Source organism: Homo sapiens, chromosome 4 (assembly GCF_000001405.40).
Source record: "Homo sapiens chromosome 4, GRCh38.p14 Primary Assembly".
Taxonomy (NCBI): Eukaryota; Metazoa; Chordata; class Mammalia; order Primates; family Hominidae; genus Homo; species Homo sapiens.
The window spans coordinates 89,412,271-89,436,492 of NC_000004.12; the positions used below are offsets into that span (position 1 = coordinate 89,412,271).

Here is a 24,222-nt window from a genome sequence, read left to right on the forward strand (position 1 = left end):
ACTATTATACGTAATATGCTATTATGTAATGTATAACACATGACTATATTGTTATATCTGGTGTCTTCTGAGTTACTGAGAAACCAAAGACACAGCTCCCCAAAGTGAGAGATGCCTGTCGCCCATCCTACAAAGCTAGGCTGTCCAATGGGACATGTGTTTAGAATCCAAGTTCTGAGAACCTACATTTTAAACAAGCTTCCTGGATATTTTTATGTACACTAAATCTGAGAACTACATGCATAAATTCAGCTCCAGGAAGTTAGGATTCAGGTCTATTTTGTTCCCTGTGGTATATTCAGCACATAACAAAATATCTGGCAGGCAATAGTGTTTTATTTTATTTTTAAAATAAAACGTACAACTAATTCTCAAATATTCCTTCCTTTTTATTTTGAGGATCCTTCTAAATGGTGGAAAGACAAATATACTACATTCTGTAAAGTAAAAGACAGATAATCTTGTTTTTAGATGTATTTTCAACTTTTGTAAAATGGCTCCTGTGAGTAGATTATCTTGCTTGCCAAGAGCCTATTTTTACAAGTGTTTTTCAATTTACATCACTGGGTAACTCTACAAGCATCATAGCTTTGCTGAAGTAACGTTAGAAATGAAGCAAACAATAGGGTTGGGTGTCTTCTGAGTTACTGAGAAACCAAAGACACAGCTCCCCGAAGTGAGAGATGCCTGCCCCCCAACCTGCAAAGCTAGGCTGTCCAATGGGGCGTGTGTCTAGTACATAATTCTCCTGGAAGAATTAGCAGAGCGAGTTGAGACTTTCAATTCAGCACCTATAGAATTCAATAGCTCATGAAGGACTGTGTTTTCTAGAAAAAAAAAATGGGATGGGGAACAGGGTAGAGGAATTTACTCTCAAGAAGAAATGCTTTTGACATGTTTTTCTAACCTCCATCAGCTGACCTTTTCCAAGAAAAGAAATACATTTAATTTGATTTCCAGATTTGTGATCTACACAACTTATTTATAGTTACTTCGTCCTCCAGGCCTGAAGAATTTAGAATATAATAGAAGTGGCAATGTTAAAATCCCAAAATCAAGCCTTAATAAACATAGAAGCTTGTGGGCATTCCTGGCTAGAGATTAATTTGGCACTATTTCAAACTAATATTCTTGAAAATTTTAAAGTATCTGTCATTAATTGAGCACTACTTGTGCCAGGCTGTGTTCTGTGTACTATTATACGTAATATACTATTATATGTAACTTACTACTATATCATAACATTCTATTATTTGTACTATTATATGTACTGTTCTATGTACTGCATGAGTACATTTAACCTTCTCAACATTTCTATTCATAATGTACAGTTATTTTCAGATAAGGAAATAAAAGCAATGAGAAGTTAAATTGTCCAGCACCCTCCTCCTCCTATGTGGTCATGTGACCCCCAGAGATTCCAACTCAGGCACTCTTAGTTCTGCTACTCTAGTGAAGGGCAGGGAACGAGTCTCCTGGGAGGTAGTTCTAATGCCTGTGCTCCTGGGAACCTAACTGAAGCCCTGCCACTGCTCATTTGTCTCCCCTTTCTAAAATCATCTATTACTCCAGCCTGCTTTTTTTTTCTTAGTGGGTGAACAGGGTTTCTCTACCAATTTCCCCCAGGGGCTTGTTACATATTCCTTTTATTATACTTACTATTCTCTGAGGTGACTTCTGGTAAATTCAACTTTCTTCATTCCCTAATATTGCCAGTGAAGCTTTCACAAACCGTATAGTATAGTATTCTGTGCTGGGTTAAAAAGCTGCCCCCCCCCCAAAAAAAAAAAAAAAAGCATTTAAACCTAACTGCCCTTAAAGTCAAGGCAAGCTTGAGACATTTTGATGCAAGACCCTATTCCTAATGGTCACAAGGAATACTGAATGAACGCTGGCAAATGAGAGGACGGGAGAATTGTTTTGGGTTGATATGGATGCAGAACGGTAATGTGGTTGGTTTGTGTTTTTTTCCTAATTAGCCTACTTAGTGAGGGATTCATATTAGACAGTCCTGAACAATCGATATCCTTAGAAGATACACCAAAGAGGATATAGCCCTGCAGGGAAGGCTTCCACTGTCCTTTCTGCATGCAAATGCAAGATTCTGAGGCCTAGCGATTTCAAAATGGGCAACTGACAAACAGACTTTATACTTGTAGTATAATAGACTTGAAGAAACCTCCATTGACTCCAATTTTAAAGATGATTTTCATTGCTGATGTACATGTTTCTGGCATTTCCCACCCTCTCTGAGATAAGTCTGAAAAATAGGAAAGAAGGAAGTTTGGTTTTCTATGAAAACACAGTTCCACATAAACTACAGAACTTTTTTGAAGTGCCAAATGCACACTTAGCCTGAATCTAGTAATTTGATTCTCCTGGCCAAATCTACTTGCCATAAATATTCTCATAACAATAGCCAGCCAAGTGTGTTTGAAAAGTAGCAGTTATCTCTGGTTTGAGTGCTGTGTCTTTAGGTTCTTGGGAACTGTAGGTAATATCCAACAGTAATGTACTTGTAACTGTATCCAGTATCATTACTGAAATTTAAATTTACTTTATGCTAAGAATTGATTTTTAAATATCCCTCATCATAAGGACTGGTTGTAGAGACACTAGAGAATCATGATGTTGACTGCTTTAACCAATACTGAGCACCCACTGTATACTAAGCTTTGTATAATTTTTGGTGCTACCGTACTAGCTTGAGTTAAATATGGTCTAGACTCAGTTCCTAAGGAGTTCATGGAAATGGATGTGTAAATGAAATGGTTTCAGGAAAGATCAAGGAAAGCTTCACAGAGAAAGTAGCACTTCCACAGGGTTTCAAAAAGTAAGTTTGCATTCTCCAGGTAGATCTAAGGAAGAAAGAGGAGGAATAAAAGCACTTGAGTGCCAATCACAGTAATGTGAGTGGGGGAGGCCTATGAGGCTAAGGTCAATGGGATTTGTGATAGATGCTGGGAGGAAAATCTAGAAAGGGAATTTGAAGGGTCTTGAATGCCATATGAATGAGTTCAGATTTTGCCTGTAGGCAATCGAGAAACACTGAAAGGCTTTAATCAGTGTAGTGACATACTTACATTAAGGTTTTAGAAAGATTACTCTAGTGGCAGTAGAAGCAGAAATTGTGGTGGTCATGCTGAAGACTGAGTGAGTGCTTAAAGGATTATAATTATACTTATAAATGATATAATCATAATAAAATGGTTTACATGAGAGATAATATTAAACAGAAGAAAATTTTAGTAATAAAGATGGAAAGGACAAAAGACATTTGAGACATTTGACTCCAGTTTCTTAAATTAGTGGATGTTCAAGTTTTTTTCAAGCATTTTAATCTTCTAACCCTCTAAGAAGACTTATCTGAAATACTTATATATTAAATGAATAAGTTGTATTTTGTTAATAAATGTAATATGGAAATTCAAACATGTATTTACTTATATAAACTCAATTACTAAAATCAATGTAGCTGATTTACTACAGACAAATTTGCTAATAAATTCTATGATTATAGATGAGAATTACTGAACTTTATCCGTATTAACATATAATTTATTGAATATATTTTAACTTGCATATACAGGATTCTTAAAAATAAGTAGTTACAAAGGGGTAAATGATCATTGCTTTACAAAAATTAGGTAACTTTGAAACATTAGATACCTCCAATTACATTGGTTTGGAAGCTTGAAGGACCAGTATTTGAAATGCTTGTGTCAAAAATGTATCATTAATAATATTGAAAAATGCTTGAACTCTCTATAATAAATGTGAAAGTCTGAAATGGAGTGCTTAAAATATAAAAATATTAATTTATCTATGATATTATATTCTTGCTGTGTGATGTATTATGCATTCACTTGTTATCGCACAACTGATTTTGGGCTAGGAGTAGTACATTCCCTGAAGGAGTGCTCCTAAGTCTTGCCAGCATTTGTTTGAGAGTAGCACACATAAGCTTTAGTAATAATCTTTCTTGCACATTTCTATGTGAACAGACATGGGCAAGTCTGATTTCCAAGAACGGCTAATGTAGAATGATTCTCTTCCTAATCAATGGTCATTTGTCTGGGGTGAGTTCTAGAATTGGTATTTTTAAAGAGTGCCCTACATGAGTCTTTCATGAGGCCAGTATTGGAAAGCCCAGTTCTTTCTGGCCAGCCTTATTTTGGGTGCCAGAGAGACATATGCAGTGGGAGAGAAAAATAAAGGCTAATTCTATATGTTGCCTAAGTGCTAAGAAAAACAAAACAAAAAATGGGACAGCATATAAAATACTATGCTGGCTTGATACATGAGTAATTAAATCTGATGTTGGTATTATTCTGATAAAGTTACAGTGATTATAATTTTGGAGAAGGAGGGAGAGGCTTTCAGTGGATTCCTGAAAGTGATGATGGTTGAGCTGGGAGTAGGTTTCTCTCAGTGGAGAGGAAATAGTATGAATAAAAGTACGACATTTTGAGATGTAGGTAGTCATCCTCTGGTTTTGATACTGGGCAAAGATGCTTAGGCACTTCAGAGGTTTTCTGGCCCATCTTTCTAATCCTGAGCATAACTTCCCAGAATGGATCTATGGTGTCTCTCATGGCACCCCGTGTATACTGGGAGGCCTAGGTTTTCTCAGTAACTTCCTTATAATTATAAAGAGCATTAACTCTTTAAGATAATGCATGAGTAGATATAATTTCATAAATGGAATTGGTAGAGCTTGAAAAGTTAATGCACTTTCCCAAGTTAGCATCTTAGTTACTTTTCAAAAGCAGGACAAAAACCATTGCTTGTCAGAGTAAGATATAAAGCAAAGAACTCTTTTTCCCCATGAGGTCTAATAGAGCAAATCACCTACAAGGAAGACATTATTTTTTGCCTGAATGGTAGGAGCGTGTGGTGAGTCATGAATCAATAAAAACATTACCATAAGCTATTTAGTGATTCATCTCTTTCTTATTTCTAAAATAGGCTTCAAACAGAAGAACATTTTACTTATATCCTCAGATTGTGCTCTGAGATGCGCTTATAAAATTCTAGGGTCAAACTCTACATTTGACTGCTAGAATAAAATTCCCATTGATGCAAAACTTCAGGAAATTTGTGGTTTGCAGAAGAAAGGTAATAATACTCGTTTCTCTGCTTCCATTTGAGAAAGTTTTTAGATTTTCTTTCCTCTGTAATTAAGTGAAATTGGATCTTACTTTTCATACTTTACTATTTTTGAAAAGCAGATTGCTAAATGTGGCAAACTGTATTTTCCAAAAATGGCCAAAGCAATATTCCCAGGACAAAGTGTTCTAGAACTTTACCATTCCTCTGTCAAGAAGAAGAGTCTATTTCCTTTCCCATTGACACTAGGAAGGCCTTGTGACCACGTAGATTAAAAGAATGTGTATGAGTGACACAGTGTGTCTGTTTCTCTACTCTTCTCTCTTGACCTTGGGTGGACCTTTTTGACCACCCCTGTGAATAAAATGCAGTGAAAGTAATGCTTGTGAGGTTCAGGCAGAAAAAGTCGTACAGCGTCTGCGTGGTTCTCTCACTCTTGGGAAGCTTGCCCTTAGAATTCAGCCACCATGTTGTGAGGAAGCAGAGGCCACATGGAGGGCCCACATGTATATGTTCTGGTTGACAAGCCAGCTATTGTCCTGGCTAACAGCTAATACTGACTGTCAAACATGGAAGTGAGCAAATCATCTGATGTTTCCAGATCCTTGCATTTGAGCCATTCTAGTTGAGGCCAAGATATCACTACCTAATCCTGCTTAAACTGCAGATTTGGGAATAAAATAAGTCTTTTTACTTTAAGCCACTAAGCTTTATGGTGGTTTTCTACACAGCAATAGATAATTGGAACGCTAAACAATAGCAATGAATAAGCAGAATTTTTTTTCATTTCAAGATGTTTCTCAAGATTTAAACAATGCGACTTTAAATAAATTAAAAGATGTATTAATCAATACGTCTATTGTAAAGTAGCAGAAAGAAGATTCAACAATTACTCTGGAACAGAAGCAGAGGAATCCGTTTCAGAATTAGCTCCTATTTTCAACCTCCCATCCCTCTCCATCTCCTAAGTTGATACAGAACTATATGCCTGACATTTAATAGTCAATTGATTTAGGGAAAAATAGGGCTCAGAATTTAGTTAAGGATAGCCAAACTTGTACCTGACTGATTTTCCCCAAGCATTCTGTTTATTGATATGTAATAAATACAAGTCACAAGAAATGGTGCAAGTTCTCTTCATAAGATCCTCTTTCTTCTCATTGTGAACAGATATGCTGCAGAAACCCAATGAACAACCTTTCCAGTGCATTTCTCCCCAGTGTAGAGCAGGCCTTCTTAATCTGTTCAGCCTGCTAATAACAAAATACCATATGCTGGGTAACTTATAAACAACAGAAATTTATTTCTCATACTTCTGGAGGCTGTGAAATCCAAAATCAAGATGCCAGCAGATTCAGTGGCTGGCGAGGGCCTGCTCCTTATAGATGGTCCCTTCTAGCTATGTCCTCACATGGTGGAAGGGTAAAGAAGCTCCCTTGGGCTCTTTTATAAGGGCACTAATCTCGTTCATAAGGGCTCCATCTCATGACCTCATCACCACCCAACGATCCTACCTCTTAATACTATTGCACTGGGGATGAAGTTTTAACAGGAATTTTGTGAGACCACAAACATTCAGACCATAGCACTCACCCATACCCCAGCCTTTTTGCCATCCCTTCCTGCAGCTAATCTTAAGTTATCACTCTCTCAGTTCTTTTTTTAGAGTTGCTAGTGCTAATGAGGGATATCTTAGCTACAGTGACACTAAATCACTCTGCACTAATTTCAGATGAATATTCACTGTTACTCAGCAAGCCTTTTAAAAATTCAGTCCCTGATGACTTCTTTTTGAATTGCTAATAATTTAGAAGTTAGTTGTTCCAGACTTTTCAAAATCCCCTGATCATACTGTGAACTTCTAAGAGATGATCTAAATCCTTTTACATGAAGTTAGAGGCTTTTAGGATTCACTTTCCTTCTACTGTGACTCAATATCTCTACATAACAATAGCTTTGCCCCTACACCCTTAACTACAGCTTGGAACATCTGTCTCCACTGATGTTTATTTTCTTCCAATGCAGAAAGGTAGAAAGAATATCACCTTTGACCTCCTGCCGTTTCACCATCCAAATCTTACATCTGTATCCCTCCGCCTGAACAGGGTCTCCTTGGGGCAGGGCACTGTTACTCAGCACTGGTCTTGCTGTGTCTAAAACACACGCACACACACACACACGCACACACTGAAAGAGACTCCGAGAAAAAGGAAAAAAAAGGAAATGTTCTCCAAAGACATTGTGGATAATAATGTGGATTTTAGATTTTGTGGAAGGTGTCACAGAGATACAGAAATATGTACACTTCACACTTAACTCAGAACATTTTCCTAAAGATCATCTTTAAATATATTTCTCTTTTCTCCAGGTGGCCACTGTTACCCCTTCACCATTTCTTTTTGTCTCTATCACTGTTCCCTTTAGCCCTCTACTTTTTCCCCCTCTTTTGGCTGCTCTAGCTCTTTTGTGGCACTCCCAGAAATTCTTTCCAGTATTTTCCTTGCAGAAAATAATTTAATCTCTCTTTGTTCTCCTATTTGTATTTCCATCCACTATCCAGCTTAACACAACAAAATCTTGTCCTTGAAATCCAGCATTCCTGAAAGATGAAAGGAGGAAGGGTGGACACATGTTATTCAGTATGTTCTGATTCCATGCATCGTTTCAGTCTTATATTGTCCCCTCAAGGTGCGTGCCCCTTTGTCTTTCTCTTCCCTTTCACTTTTAGATCCAGCTTTCCTGCAGAAAGTCTGATTTCTCTGCTCCTACATATTACAAACCTGCAGGGTCAGGCCTGTGATTGTCCAGAGTTGCCTATTACTGGCTGGACACATTTGTCGAATTCAGAAATAAAACAGAAGAGGCCTGTTGTGGTTGTAAGTCGCCTGCTTCCCAACCATGTATTTATTATAATAAAGTTGATATTTTAATATCTATCCTTCTGATCTTGGTGGAATTTGAATCCAGGAGTGGAAAAGAAGGGTGTTATTTTGTGGGCTTTCTAAATTTGAAAGTTAAAAATTATGCAAGGCACTAAAGTTTTCATTTCAAAGCAACTAAACACTATGTAAAAAAGAAAGTATGCTATTATACCTAGATGTTTATTTCTTTCCTGTCTTGATCTTTTTGGATGTCTAAATTTTTATATCTCACTTTCATGGTGTAGCTGACTAAGCCATTAGTAACTTCAAGAAAGTGTTCTATTTTTACAAAAGGATGTTTTCCTAACATGTGCTCTAACCATGCCCAATGAGTACTTGGTAGCCACCCAAATGCAAGCCAATTTCCATAGTGGTAATTGATGACAACACTGCTATTCCTATCACATTCAACTCTATGTCTCAATTAATATTCCCAACATATGGTGGCCTAATGAATCACTTGTATCGAGAATGGTGCGTCTGTCTAAACCAGTGGTTCAAGAGGGCATACTTGATTCACTTTGAGAGCTTTTATAAACTATGCAAGAACATTCTTCCCTTCCCTTGCACAATATTCTAGCCACCTTATGGTCAGAGTAATCACCAATTAGGTTAGAAAACAGACTGTAGATTCTTCATTTGGCTTATTTATGTTTCCTATACTTGTACATGTCTTCTGATTTCTAAGACTTGGGTAACTTATTATTTTATTCTAATTTCTTTCCTATTTTTAAAATATGCATTAAATTGGTCTTTTGTGGATTGATAGTACATACCACCTAAGAGTGTGGACTTTTACAATAGTAGTGAAAGGTAGATTAAAGTGTCCGCCCTGTTTCTGTGTGAATTTTGTTAACCCCTGGTTTCTTTATGTATAAAATGGAGAGAGTAGGAATATCTTTCTCATAGGAATACTTTTAAGATTAAAAAACAAAAAGAGATGATGCATATAAAATGCTAGGCAAAATATGCAACTCAAATGTATGGGCAGTGGCAAGCATTCAATAAGATATTAGGTATTATTGTTGTTATTATCATTAGCTTTTAGCTTGTGTTAATTCAAGAAGAGAGTTTGTTTTTTACGCTTTTGCTAATCACCTTTTATTATATCTTACATTCTATGTTGCTGCCCAACCCTGAAGGGACTTTAAATAATTCTCCATCTCCCAGCCTGGGTGACAGAGCGAGACTCTGTCTCTAAAATTAATAATAATAATAATAATAATAATAATAATAATAATAATGCTCCATTTCTTTCAAGGGAAAGATTCACAACACCATCAGCCTCAATTGGAATTAGTTAACAACCAGGCCAGCTGCATGACAATGGACAATTTATCTCACATGACTCTTTCAATAAATATTTTTGAGTGCCTGGTCATTGAACTAGGTCCTATAAGATCCCTTTCCTGAAATGGTATCATTTGTTTAAGAATATTTTACTATTTAAGTCTGGCCTTCTCTAATTATTTCATATTAGTATGTGTATCTGTATAAGAAACAGTGAGGGGCCGAGTGTGGTGGCTCATGCCTGTAATCCCAGCACTTTGGGAGACTGAGGTGGGAGGATTGCTTGAGTCCAGGAGTTTGAGATCAGGCTGGGCAACATAGTGAGACCTCATCTCTACAAAAAAATTAGAAAATTAGCTGGGCATAATGGTGCATGTCTGTGGTCCCAGTTACTGAGAAGGCTTAGGTGGGAGGATGGCTTGAGCCGTAATTGTACCACTACACTCCAGCCTGAGCCACAGAGTGAGACTCTGTCTTAAAAAAAAGAAAAAATGAAACCAAAAATTAATGAACTGATCTCATTCGATCTCTGATAAGTCATAGCATGGAAGATTTCGGTGACAATTTACCTATTCAATAATGAATATTCCATACAAATGTTACTCTTATCCATCTTCCATGCCTTACTAAGAATTAGAGTTACCAGCTAAAATGCAGGATGCCTAGTTAAATTTTAATTTCAGATAAAAATATAAATAATTTCTTAACATAGCTATGTCCCAAATATTGCAAGGGACATACTTCTGCAACATCACTTGTTGTTTATTTGAAATTCAAATTTAGTTGCATGTGCTATGTTTTTATTTGCTAAATCTGAATTTCTGTTAATGCAAGCAGAAAGGAGACTTAAAAACTAAAATAATGGTAATGCATTTAGTCTGATTGCTGGATTTAGAGATTGCAAGGCCATGCTATTCTCTTTCATTAGTTTGTATACTATTTTTTAAACAACATGATCAACCAGTTATTTGCCATGGTTGAAGAAAAGGCTGCCTGGGCTCGTTCACTTTGTGGTTAGAGGATACATACCTTAAATCTACAAATACAGGACAAGAATGTTGTTGGCTGTCATTCTACTCAGGCTTAAATGATGTAGTATCAAAGGCCCAATTCAAGTCCTGCTGTCTTTCCAGGGGCCCTAAACCCTGCCCTGCTTTCTCTTAGCTTCCTGAATCCTGTCTGTGTACAGTTCCTCCATTGATTTCTCAGGCTTCATCTGGAGTTCCACATGAGTAGTGATGACAGGGTCAGATTAACACATCATACACAGAAATAGCTCCATACATAGATTGGTGAGTAAAGGCTATAAGATCAGCATTTAACAGTGACTTTTACCATAATTTAGCCGTCAACTTCATTTCTGTGAGCTCAGACTTAATGGCCACGTAACATAAACCTCAATTTTAGAATAAATTAATTTTTTTCTGTGCCTGTTTCCATAAATGAGAAAACAGAACTCCCTTTCTCCATTCCATGGTACACAATTTTGGCTTTCATTCTGTGACTATACAGTCACCTTTACTGCCATGAAAGTATCTTTGCTTGGCCTTTGGTTCTGCCATGTAAACCAGCAGAAGGGCCAAGGTAAGTCATGGCAACTATGTACTGAGCTGGATAAAATGAAAGAAAATGAATCATCTGCTGTACTGTCAATTGGGAGAACTGATAAAGCAGAAAATAATGATGAACCAGGTGTGCCCTTCTCCAGACAATTAAGTGCATGTTTTCTCTTAAAATCACCTATCTGGAGAAAAGGCATAAACTGTTGCCAATTAAAGCAAGTCTTCTGGAAATGTCTACATTGTCTCCTGGAAAGAGGATGTAAATAAACACTCAGCAATGCATTTCCACAGGAAACAAGATTCATGCTGGCCTATCTCTTGGGCACAGCACCCAATGGTGGAAACAATAAATTTGAAGGATTAGGTGGCTGGATCTGTTTCTACAAAATAACATTTGCATTGAGGCCATATTATTATGAAAAATAAGGATAAAAAGTAATTGATTATCAAAATTTGAGGATCATAAAAGAGGAAAGACTGCTGTATACATATATATGAATCAGTTACTTTCTCAGAAAAATTGAAGAATGATTGCAATATAGTTAAAATGTGCATCATATTTTATAAATAATTTAATGCATAGCAAACTCTAGAATAATATACATCCTTATACATATGAGAGACATATTATATAAACCAAATATACATATGACGCTTTGCCTAGATGTATGTGTATATTCAACAATACATTTTACTCTGAGAGAGGATTTGGCAAACCACAGCCCACAGGTTGGATGCTTGCTTTTTAAAATATAGATTTATTAGAACACAGCCATGCCCATTTGTTTATGTATGATTGATGGCACCTTTCCCGATATACAGCAGACTTGAATGGTTCCAAAAGAGACTCCAGGACCCAAAGAACCTAAAATGTTTACCTGGCCCTTTGTTTTAAAAATTCTAAGACATGGTTATGGTAGCTATAAAAATCATGTCTGGTTTAATGATTTTATAACATGAAATTCGATTTAGTTATTCATTGTTGGCAGAGGAAGATGAAAGACTGCCAGCTACTAGGTAAGGATTTTAATGTGTATGGAGATAAATAGAAGAAACTTTCTTCTTTATATCTACTCCAACTTTCTTCTCCTCTTTATAATTCTGTGTATTTTTTCTTGCCTTATATTTCCCTTTCATTTTTATCTTATTATTCTATGTGTATCTTCACTTGTCATTTATGACCTTTCTCCGTTTTATCCATTTTCCACATATATTTTTATAGTGGGAATTTTGGGGTCATGTGAAGCACAGGAACTTTTTGCCTGGAAGATCTATCCATCCATCTCCACATGAGCAGTATTGAAAACTTCCCACCTCCAATGAACTAAAAAAATGAACTGAGTCAGATAAATAGTCCTCTGCACAGTTTTCCTGACATTTGTTTTAATGTTCTGCAGTAGAAAATCAGGAAGAATTCTGTTTGGTTCAGTGTACCTGTAACAAGCTTTGGCTTTGATCCAGGTAATTTTTCAGATACTGGTGTCTCAAAGACAAATAAAATAAGGTGTATATCCTTTGTTCTTCTCTCTTACACATCTTGTACTTTATTCTAAATGCTTAGGATAATTTGTACTTTGTGTGTGCAATCGTGTGTGTTTGAATTGGATCTTGTACTAAACTATAACCTCCATGAAGACAGGGATGATGTTCATTTTGCTTACTCTTTTATTGTCAGTGCCTGCCATAATTATAAGTCCTCTAAGAATATTTATTGAATTACTTTAATGAATGATGGAGAGGGCCACTAAAACATTTTAATAATTAGAATGAGAAGGTCATGTAAATCTTAGATAGATCATTCTGGTAGTATTTTGAAACTTAGGAGGATCAGACTACAGACTGTAAGTCAGTTCTTCTAGTTGATCTTTCTTGTGTAGCAGAAAAAAATAAGATATTTCTGTAATTCCTCAATTTGGGGGTAGGAAGGGCATGAACCTAGAAATAAGTAGTTCTTTAACTCAGTCTGGTTTTTTGCCACACAATAGTTGCCACATTTCTCCACCCACTCAGGTGTGCCTCTTATTCCCCAATTACAGCTTTGAATCTATTACCCAGCCCAGCTTCAACAAGATGTACTTGAGCAGCTCTAATCTGCCTCTGAGCTTTACCCAAGTTAGGTAATCAGAGTTCTACATTATCCTAGGAGCTATGCCATGATAGATGCTTTAGGCATCATGATAGGTTCTATGGAGAAAATGATTAATAAGACAGATGCTGCCCTGCCACAGTCTAGAAAGGGAGAAAAATCGAAATACAAATGATGCTAATATTAGTATTGAGTGATAAGTGCAATAATAGAGTTATGTATCTGTTGTAAAGGTGGCAGAGAGGAAAGAATGTTTATGCCTGTGTTATGGATATTAAAAAGGCTTATAGAGGAGGAAGCATTGGGTTTATGTTTTCAAAAGCAAACAGAATTTTTCAGGTTCAATAGTAGGTGATATGCAAACTGAAAGTAGATATTCAGGCAGAATAAATAAAAAAAGACATGAAGGAATTAAGTTTGCCATGCTTTTTAATAACGAGTCCACTGTATTTGTTCCTCTTCTCAGATCTTGATTCTTGTAACTTGCCAAAATTCCATTCTCTTCTTAGGCTCTGTTTTAATGTTGGGATTCTCTTTGTAGGAAAATGGGGTTCTTCTCCTGAATATCAATCCTGTTTCATAGTGGCCATTAGACTTCTCTGACATTGCCTGCCAGTCTTAGATCCTGATTCTAAAAGTCACCTGTCTGAAATCCGCCATTTCTGTGTCTACTTTTTTCTTGGATCCTATTGGTCTAAAGTGAGATGCTGTGGTTCTTGGATACTGAGCTTTGCCTCTGTCATAGATCAAGCTGTCTCTCAGAGATATAGCCTTAGTTAAAGATTCTGGCTCAAGTGATTTATACAGGAGTAACCCCAGGAAAAACAAGCAAGAGAGTGGAAGGAGAGAATAGAAAAGGAAAAAAGCTAAGCAATGGTGTGATTTCAGGTGTGGCTTCAGGCTCAGCCTGATCCTGTGGGGGAACTCTGGAGCATAAATTACATTTCAGGGTTTGTTTTACCTTGAGACAAAAGAGCTAAGATTTTTACCCTCATACCAATCAGTCATTGGCTCCAGGCAGCCATGGTAGTTAGCGAGTGGGGGGCCTAAGCTACCAAGCACTTCCAAGTGAGATAACTGAAGTTTTTAAGGGTGGACACTGGAAAGTCATAGGTTCTAGTTGTTAGCAGAATGGCAATCCAAAGATGAAGAATGCTGGTAAAGGGATGAGAAGGGCTAGGTACAGTGTCCACTGTGGACTCCCACAAAGTCTTCCCCAAGTTCATGCCTGTGATGCCTGGTGAGTGGGATGCTTCAGGTCTCCAAATGTCTCAGAATTTTCCTTCCTGACATAATTATCTGGACTCCTTTGTCTATGCCAAGTCTCCACATAAAATGCTTGCATTCCTGGAAAGCTATTGTATAGTTTGCTATAAAGGAATGCCCGAGACTGGGTAATTTATAAAGAAAAGAGGTTTATTTGGCTCACAGTTTTGCAGGTTGTACAGAAAGCATGGCATCATTATCTGGTTCTAGTGCGGGCCTCAGGAAACTTAGAATCATGGCAAAAGGTGAAGGGGAAGCAGGCATATCAGATGGTAAGTGAGGAAGCAAGAAAGAGAGGAGGAGGTGCCAAGCTCTTTGTAACAATCAAATCTCATGGTTACTCATTACTATGGAGGGGGCACCAACGCATTCATGAGGGATTCACCCCATGACCCAAACACCTCCCGCCAGGTCCCACCTCCAACGTTGGGGATAACATTTAAACATGAGACTGGGAGGGGACAAATATCCAAACTATATCAGGGATAGTTCCTTCAAGGACAGGGAGGAAACTGAGAATGTTCTTGCTACTTAGGGGACTAGTAAAATTTCAGATGATCAGAGAGCATTTGGTTCATTCCAAAACATCATTTCATACTGAAAACAGAATTTGAAACTTTCATATGCACAAAAGAAAGACAAGATTGATCTTCGGATTTGAAAAACGTAGGCTGCTTCCTGATCAGTATCCCAAGGCAGAATAAAGTATTTTCAGGATATTTTGCATTCAGATGTATTATGCTCCAAATTCAATTCTTTTGATTAGAAGATTTAGGCTTGCTATAATATAAAAGCAAGTGTAGGACATGGCTACACAGCTTGAATAATTTTTGCAACTTCAACGAGAATTTTTGAATACTTTAAACCATGATTCTTACTTGTACTATATGATTAGTAATTAGAAGTAATTTGGAAAAAAGCATGTGCCGTTTTCTCTATTATTCCTATGAGGATTATCATTATAGTGATTTTCATTCCTTTCTCTGAAATAAAATATTTTAAAAGCTCAAATTATAGGACTTATAAAAATGTACATTTGTACATTTCTTTTATGAGAAAGAGACAAATAATAATGATGTAATCATATGGTAAGAATTTGTTGAAATCAACAACTTTCAGGTCAAATTAGAGAGCTAGCATTGATATAACCCAGTATCTAGCATCACTTCCTACTCTTAAATTACAGTAATTGATATTTATAATTAGTAGTGTGGCATAGGTACTGTTGTGAACCAGATGGGTTAACTTGTACTTATTATCATTTAAATATATTCTATTTTTACTCTATTTTTTAGAAAATTGGTAATCTATGTACAATAATTCTTACCTAATGAGACTATTCAATTATCCATTTTGTGTCATTCTGGATAAATGGGCACTGGCTCTATCTTTGTTTCCGTCATACCATGTTTGTGGTGATGTCATACTCCAATTTTAAAGATAATTTTATTTATCACACCGGAATTGGCCAATGCCTGGAAAGGTTACATCTGTAAAGTAAACATAAAACACTGTGGAGCCAAGTGGAGCCCAAATGATCTGTTTACATTTAAGATTGATTTTTTAAAACCTCATTTCCTTGTTTTGTTACAGATGGCAGTGGAAAAAACAATAGAATTTCTGAATGAAAAAAATTCCTAGATTTCTATGTTGTAAAAGCAGGTCCTTGACATTCTTCCTGTTCATCTAGGGAGATGCTGGCATCCACTTTGTTATCTGGAGGTAGGCCTTGATACTTGGATGTTTCTTCAAACACAAGATGGTAGCAGGAAAAGGGAAATAATGTGTGGAATTGACACGGAGGGAAACTGTAGCAGGAGAAGAGAAAATTTTTTAGCTAAGATTATGCTATTCATACAGATTTGTGGGTATAGATTACTTTCCTCCATGTTATAATGTTGATAACTTGATGAAAATAGCAAATAAAAAGTAGCATTATTCTTCTGTACCCAACAAATGTTTTTGACACTACTATAAGGACAATGTTGCTTTTTGACTTACCTTGTTCCATTTGAATAATAATTAAGAAAAACGTAGATGGGCCAGGCACAGTGGTTCAAGCTGTAATCCCAACACTTTGGGAGGCCAAGGTGGGCAGATCACTTGAGCCCAGGAGTTTGAGATCTGCCTGGGCAACATTGTGAAACTCCATTTCTACGAAAATACAAAAATTAGCTGGGGGTGGTGGCACATACTTGTAGTCTCAGCTACTTGGGGGACTGAGGCAGGAGGATTGCTTGAACCTGGGGGACCGAGGTTGCAGTGAGCTGAGATGGCATCACTGCACTCCAGCCTGGGCAACACAGTGAAACACTGTCTCAAAAAAGAAAAGAAAAGAAAAATATAGATGGATGATTAATCAAACATTTTATTACTTATCTTGGTAAATTGGCAGGTTTAAGACCTTACGTTAGATAGTAGAGTATGAGCAAGTTGGTAGTCTTTTAAGAAACGTCTGTAAGATTTTATTTCACAATCTTTTCAGAATCATCATTCATAGTTGAGTTCATCAAGTGTCACTTAAATGGCCTGTAAATTAAAGAAACAATTCTTTAACATGTTCCTATTTAGAGGATGGATCCTCATTTGACCTTTTATATTAAAAGCTATAATAAGAAGAGGAATGATGACTTTTTCCAGCACTCCTGAACAATGTGTCAAGATATATCTGCACAGAATTTCACAAAACGTCAGGGGCATTGTCTCCCTTTGGTAAACTCTAAATGTGGCACATAGAAGGTATTCTTTTAGCAGTTATTGTGGATATGAAGCTGGATATTGATTTAACAAAATATTTTCATATTAAAGAAATGTTTTATACATTCAAACACATGATGTGTTCTAAAAAGTGTTCATTGATACCTAGAGAACAAGGATTTTAATTTAATTTCCCCATCAAATAATATGTCAAAGCAAGTTATCTATCTGGACTAGACTTTACCTCCTTGTCACAGTGGTAGTAGCTTAAATTGTAAAAGATCTATTTTTAGTTATTGAAATATGGCCCCCCACAGAACCAGTCACTGATGGACTTTACTAGGTTTCTTCAGTATTTCCTAAGAGGCAATTACCCTGGAAATTATTCGTAGCACAACTGTTATATCCAACAGCCAACTCATCAGGAATTTTTGTTGGCTTGACCTGCAAAGTGTATCCAGAATTCGACAACTTTTTACCATTTCTGTCACCATCTTCCAGGACACCATCACATCTCACTTGGATTGTTGCCGTAGTCTTCTAACTGGTTTTCCTGCTTCTAAACTCACTCCTTCTAAGTTCATTGTCAACACAGCAGAAACAATAATTCTTTGAAAACATAAGTGAGATATCATTGCTCCTCTGTGTAAATGCTTGAGCCCTTATCACTCTGAATGGCAGCTAGAACCGTTACTGCAGCCTCACTGCTCTACATGGCCTGTTTTCCTCTCCCCATCACCTCTTTGACTTGTTATCCCAGGAACTGCCCCTCTCTTGCCCTCCATTCCCTCTTCACTAGCCCACCGGCCTCCTCATTCTTCCTGCCTCGGAGCTGTTTCCTTGTCTGGAATTTTCTTCCTCCAGATGTCTGCTTGGCCCACTCTAACATTTCTTTCAACTCTTTCCTCAAATGTTCAAATGTCATATTCTCATTGAGGCTGTCTTTAGCTCTCTACCTCATCCTACTTCCCCACTGGGCACTCCCAGTTCCTTTAACCTGCTCTTTTTTTGTCCTCCCTGTAGCACTTATTTTTTTTTCTATCTCCTCCTTCCACCTCTACTAGATTGTGAGTTTCATGATGACAGAGATTTTGACCATTTTGTCCAATGACATACTGCCAGGGTCTAGCACAATATAGATGCTCAAAAGATATTTGTTTAATAAGTGAATTAGGCCAGGTTTGGTAGCTCATGTCTGTAATCCCAGCACTTTGGGAGGCCAAGGTGTACAGATCGCTTGAGTCCAGGAGTTCAAGACCAGCCTGGGCAACATAGTGAGACCTCTGTCTCTACAAAAAAAGAAAAATAGCCAGGCATTGTGGCACGTGCCTGTAGTCCCAGCTACTCTGGAGGGTATTCTGGAAGTGGGAGGATCACTTGAGCCTAGGAGGTTGAGGCTGTAGGGAGCCATGATCATACCATTGGACTCCAGCCTGGGCAACAGAGGAAGACCCTTTCTCCAACAAAGAAAGAAAAAAAAAAAACAGGATCCATTGCTATTTTATGTCCGTGACGTAAAAGAGTGCATGGGGTCACCATAACATGAACTACTACCTTCTGCTGAAATGTGCTGGTGTCTTTGAGAAAGCACCAATAAATAGCTCCTTCCTGCCTGGCCGAGGTTTAAACCAATTTATAGACAAAACTAAGTTTCAGCAGGCAGAGCACAAAATATTAATATCACCTTAATACTGAAAGGACTGGTAGAAAGACATACTTATTTCTGTAAGCAAGTCAGTTATCTAATACTGAACCTCTGCCCCAAATAGATACATGTGTCTACAGAACAGCACTGACCGATGACATATCTTCCAACAAAAGCAGAATAGGCAGAGCAGAATTTCCCCTCCCAGGAATAGGAAAGAGAAAGAAACTGTGCTGTCCATGCATTTTTCACCTGCATATATTCACCACTCATTGTTTTGTTTCTTGGAGTTGGGGGAGGTGGAGCAATTGGGGCGGGATAGAGAAGTGTGTGATGAGGGCATGGGGAGAGGTCAGTGGTGTTACTCCAATAAACATCCCATCATATAGAAGAAAACATTAGACATGGAAGTGAAGTGATGTCCCCTAATAATATCTATATTTTTCCTCTTTTGAAATTTGTTCCTTTTGGTTAAAATTAGTATATCTCAGATATTTAGAATGTTAATTTGCTGTCGGCAAACCCAGAGAGATGAAAAGTCAGTCCACGTGGTTGGTATGGAGAGAATTGCTGAAAATATAAAACTGAGACCTAACCTATCAGCAGTCAGGGAAGAGTTAGAGGAAGATTATGTTTTAAAATGGAGATCCTTCAGTGACTCCCCCATACTAATAATATTTCAAATATCTTCAAATCACAGGCCACTCTTTGGGTATTCCTCAAGGTAATGAGAGGCACATCATCAAGGAGGCACAGGTTTTGGGTGTTTCTTATGTACTAAGAACTGGGGATAAGAGTAGTGCACAAAATAAATATAGTCCTTGCCTTCACAGAATCTATTGGGGAAGAAGTGTGAGTATAAGTAAATATAGAGTGAAAATAGCATATTAATAGCACCAGAAGCCTGGGCGCAGTGGCTCATGCCTGTAATCTCAGCACTTTGGGAGGCCAAGGTGGGCAGATCACCTGAGGTCAGGAGTTTGAGACTAGCCTGACCAACATGGTGACACCCAGTCTCTACTGAAAATACAAAAATTACCTGGGCATGGTGGCACATGCCTGTAATCCCAGCTACCTGGGAGGCTGAGACAGGAGAATTGCTTGAACTCAGGAGGCAGAAGTTGCAGTGAGCCGAGATCGCACCACTGCACTCCAGCCTGGGCAACAGAGTGAGATTCCAACTTTTTTTTTTTAAAAAAAAAAGCACCAGAAATAGGTGCAAATTGAGGCTGAAGGTGAGAAACTTTACTCCTTCATTGTTTACAGACTACCCATATGTTCCAGGGACAGGATTAAATGCAGAGGATATAAAGATATCCTGTCCTCAAAAAACAGAAAGTTTAAAATGGGAGAGATAGAGCAGGTAGTTAAATAAGCAGGTCAATAAAATACAATATAACATATAATGTGTCTTAGCCTGTACATGGAACTATGTTGACCCAGAAGAAAATACCTTAATTCAGGTTTAGGTTTCAGGAAGACTTATTGGAGAGGTGAGTTAAAGCAATAAAATAGAAATAGGAAAGGAAAATGCAAGTGCATTGGAAGATAGAGTTGAGATGCTTACTCAGAATGTATCAGAGTGAGTGATGAAGAGACGAAAACATGGAATGGGAGAGTAAGGGATGGGTAAGATAGCATTGGAGTAAAAGGAGGAGAAAAGAGAAAAAAATTAAGGAAAGGTGATAGCTCAAATTTTTCCAGAATAAAATGACTAGAGTTCCTCAGACTTAAAAATCACAATGCTTTCTAATCAGCAAAACTAAATACAAATTACATGCATACATAAGGATGAAACTTCAGAACAATTTAAAAAAGTGAAAATTGAAAAACCAAGTACAGAAGAAATAGGTTATCTACAAGGAATAATAACAGAATTCTCGCAGGCAACGATACTGCTAGAAAACATTTGACTCTTATCTTCAAAGGAGAGTAGAAAAACAGCTTCCAGGCTAGCATTCTATTCCCATTGAAGTTATCATTCAAAAGGGAGAATAAAATACAGCCACTTCTAGACATATGAGGATTAAGTATTTATTATTCATGGACCCTTTAGGAAAGTACTCTAGAGCAGGGGTCCCCAACCCTGTGCCATAGACCCTGGCCTGTTAGGAACCAGGTGGCACAGCAGGAGGTGAGCGGCAGGCCAGTGAGCATTACCGCCTCAGCTCCGCCTCCTGTCAGATCAGCAGCTGCATTAGATTCTCATAGGGGTGCGAACCCTATTATGAACTGCACATGTGAGGGATCTAGGTTGCATGCTGCTTATGAGAATCTAATGCCTGATGATCTGAGGTGGACCTGTTTCACCCCCAAACCATACCATTTTACCCCCACCCCCATTAGTGAAAAAACTATCTTCCAAGAAACCAGTCTCTGGTGCCAAAAAGTTGGGGACTGCTGCTCTAAAGGATGAAATCCCACACAGAGAAAAGAATACGTGCACAAATCCACAGTAATCCAGCGAGCAGGGACAAGTGGGAGGCCTGGTGTGGCTAAAGGTCTGGGGGAAGGGAGAGATCAGCAGTGGCCTGTGACTCTGGCTGCTCTTGTCCTTTAGGGGAGATCTGGGCTTTCTCTGAAGGCTCAGAGTGATCAAAGGGTCTCAGCAGGGTGAGGACTTGTTTAGATTTATGCTGTAGTAAGATCACTGTGGCAGAGGGTAGAGAATATGTTGTTGCCAGTGAGGCCAGTTGGGAGTAATGGGTGTAATTTAATGAGAAATGATTAGGGCCTGGATGAAGGTGAGGCAGGGAGGAAAATGGTCAGATGCTGGAATTGTTAAGGCGGTAGGTCCTCAGGACTCAGTAAGTGATTCAGTGTGGCGAGAAAGAAAGAAGGCGTCAAGCAGGCAATTGTTTTACTAAGGCAGCTTCCATGGAGTCCAATTGCAGTGAGAGGAGCAATGGGAGATGAGAGTGGAAACACTGATAACCCTGTTAAGAATGATCTGTGAAGCAGCGGCAAGACTTAGAGTAATAGCCAGAGGAAGATCAGAGGGAAGAAAGATATTAGGATGGAAGGCTTAATGAGCAAGTGGGGAAGACAAATAAGAGAAGCAAAAAATGAAGATATACAGAGAGGTTCAGAGATACCTGATAGAACAAGGGCCTGGGCAGGTAAGAGGAAGTAGAGAGCCTTATATACAAGGAAACATAGAGAAAGATGCAGGCTGTGGTACGAATGCATCCCCCAAAGTTCATGTATTGGAAACTTAATCCCCAGTGCCACAGTGTTGAGAGCTGAGACTTTAAAGAGATGAATAGGTCACAAGGGTTCTGCCCTTATGAATGTATTAATGCTGTTATCGTTGGAGTGGGTTATCACGAGAGTGGGTTCCTGATAAAAGGATGAGTTTGTCCTTTCCTACCTCCTCATAGCAAGAGGCCATCACCAGATGCAAGCCCCTCGATGTTGGGCATTCCAGCCTCCTGTAAGAAATAAATTTCTCTTCTTTATAAATCACCCAGTCTTAGGTATTCTATTGTTGCAGCACAAAACGTAGTAAGATAGGGCAGATGCAAGAAACTGACAATCCCCTCGTCCTTTGTAAGTAGCACCATGACTGGCACACAGCAGTGATGAATAAATGTTGAGTGAATTAATGAATCAGTGAATGAAAGAATAGAAAGATAGATGATGGATATATTCAGGCAGGCTCCAGATCTTAGTATACTAACTCTCAAAGGCCAGCATGTTTTCAAGTTAGGAATGGCAGACCTCTAGTGGACAAAAAGAAAAGTCAGCAATCTAATGGCTGAGAACAAAATTTGCATAAGATGGTTTGGGTAAATGCGCTTGCAAAAGAATAAGTACATAAAGCATTGCTTTACAAAGATTTTATCATACCTAATTTTTGCTGTGCTCAGTTTCTTATAAATGGGACTTAAAAGCACATGCATGATGAGTTCACTTCTGTAATTAACTGCTTAGAGTGAATGCCTTATGGAAATGAAGCCAGTAATCTTTTAATTATGATTAACATTTCTTTTTAATACCTGCAGGAGGGAAATAATTACTCATATGTGGAATTTCATGCTACAAGCTACATAAGATACAAAGTAGCTGTTCATTTTGAAATAGAGAAAAGGGGAAAGAGAAAATCGTAACCAAATAAACCTTTGGTTACAGAAGTCTCAAATATGATGAAAAGAGTGTATTTAAAAATGACAACAGCAACACATATTGTTTAAAATATTGAACTGTAAAAACAAGGTTAACAGACCTTTTTAGTCCTTAAAAATTAAATAATGTCCTACTGTCAAATTATTTGGAGTTAGCTCAAGGAGGAATTATTTGTTGATGCAAACTATGGTTCTTTTAGGAGCCTGAGTGCTTTCTAATAGAGATCAAGTTGAGTTGATCCTATGTTATTCACAATCAAAGAAAATGTTTGGCAGCTATTCCAGGTTAATTAACTACATAAGGTCTCCAGTTTGTAAATCAGAAAGGTATTACAGGTGACTACTTAAGGATGCTTCAGTTTTTCTATTATGACAATTTTATTAACAATGTACAGTGTCTTAGGTAAATGAAAGAAGAATATAATTTTATGTGGCAATTGTGTGCAGCTGGTGAGGTGGGGATGAGAGAGTTAGGAAATATTAGATATGAGAGTACACATGTGGGAACTTTTCTAATCCATGACTGCAGAATTTAAAACGATTGAAGAAATTACCATCTTTTGCCTGAGTTAGCAGAACTGAAATTAGCTTCTGAGGAAAGCTCTTTGGGATTTCTTGTTTGTTTCTGAATCTTTTTAAATGTTTAATTCAATACCACTGTATTTGAGAATAAACATTATTAAAATGTCATAATGACTCTTTAGACTATTTTAAGCTGCCATAAAGAGAGTGTTTGCATTTTTTATCAGCCCTGATCTGCCAGGGACTTAGTCATTAGGCATCATTGTATAATTAAATAACAATAAATAATTATAAATAAATGTTTCAAATTTGATACCAATAAGAGCAGAAATCTGAGAGCAAGTAAAAAAGGGTTTCTAAGCAATATTTAGACAACTGTAATAAAAATATCTAATAAAAGTACAGCTCACACCCGCAAAAATGAGTAGTTATCGCTGGATTTATTTAATAGGTGATTTTATTCTGCTTTATTTCTATTGCATATATGTCCAAAGTTCTCTGCATTGAGCATTACATTTGTCATTTTAAAATGACTTAAAAAACAAAACAAACAAAAACACCAAGAGCTCAGCATCATTTGTTGACTAGAAACTGTTGCATGGCTGCTACAGATGCTATTGTACCTTTTGGGCACATTCTGCAACATCTCTTGCTATTCTGAGCCATCCAGAGCGATTCTACATACATCTCTAGAAAATAATACAAATTTTCCAGGACAGTATGATGATGTCAGCCATTGCTTAATCAGTTTTTACATTTAGGGAGAAGCTAGAGGAAAGTTGGAAATGCTAAGGGACATTTCAAGACTTCCCAGAAAGTAGCTGTGTCAGGAACAAGGAAGGCAGGAGGAGCCTGGGGAAAGTCTCACATTTGATTCAAAAGAGTTCCAACCTTAGGAAAGTTGGACTCTCAAACACGTCTGTTTCAGTATGCAGCCATATTCACGCCTAGATGCAGGACTGCTATGGTTCCCTCCTCCATAGTGCTGTTTATTCTGCAC

At 37.7% G+C, this 24,222-nt stretch overlaps 2 annotated features.

The window, feature by feature from the left end:
• Positions 6,694-7,219: an enhancer, noted in NCBI's record as "NANOG-H3K27ac hESC enhancer chr4:90340115-90340640 (GRCh37/hg19 assembly coordinates)". NCBI's record gives its function as "activates a minimal SCP1, AML or CMV promoter by ChIP-STARR-seq in primed H9 embryonic stem cells {active_cell/tissue: H9 hESC(primed)}" and the evidence as "EXISTENCE:reporter gene assay evidence [ECO:0000049][PMID:30033119]".
• Positions 7,220-7,744: an enhancer, noted in NCBI's record as "NANOG-H3K27ac hESC enhancer chr4:90340641-90341165 (GRCh37/hg19 assembly coordinates)". NCBI's record gives its function as "activates a minimal SCP1, AML or CMV promoter by ChIP-STARR-seq in primed H9 embryonic stem cells {active_cell/tissue: H9 hESC(primed)}" and the evidence as "EXISTENCE:reporter gene assay evidence [ECO:0000049][PMID:30033119]".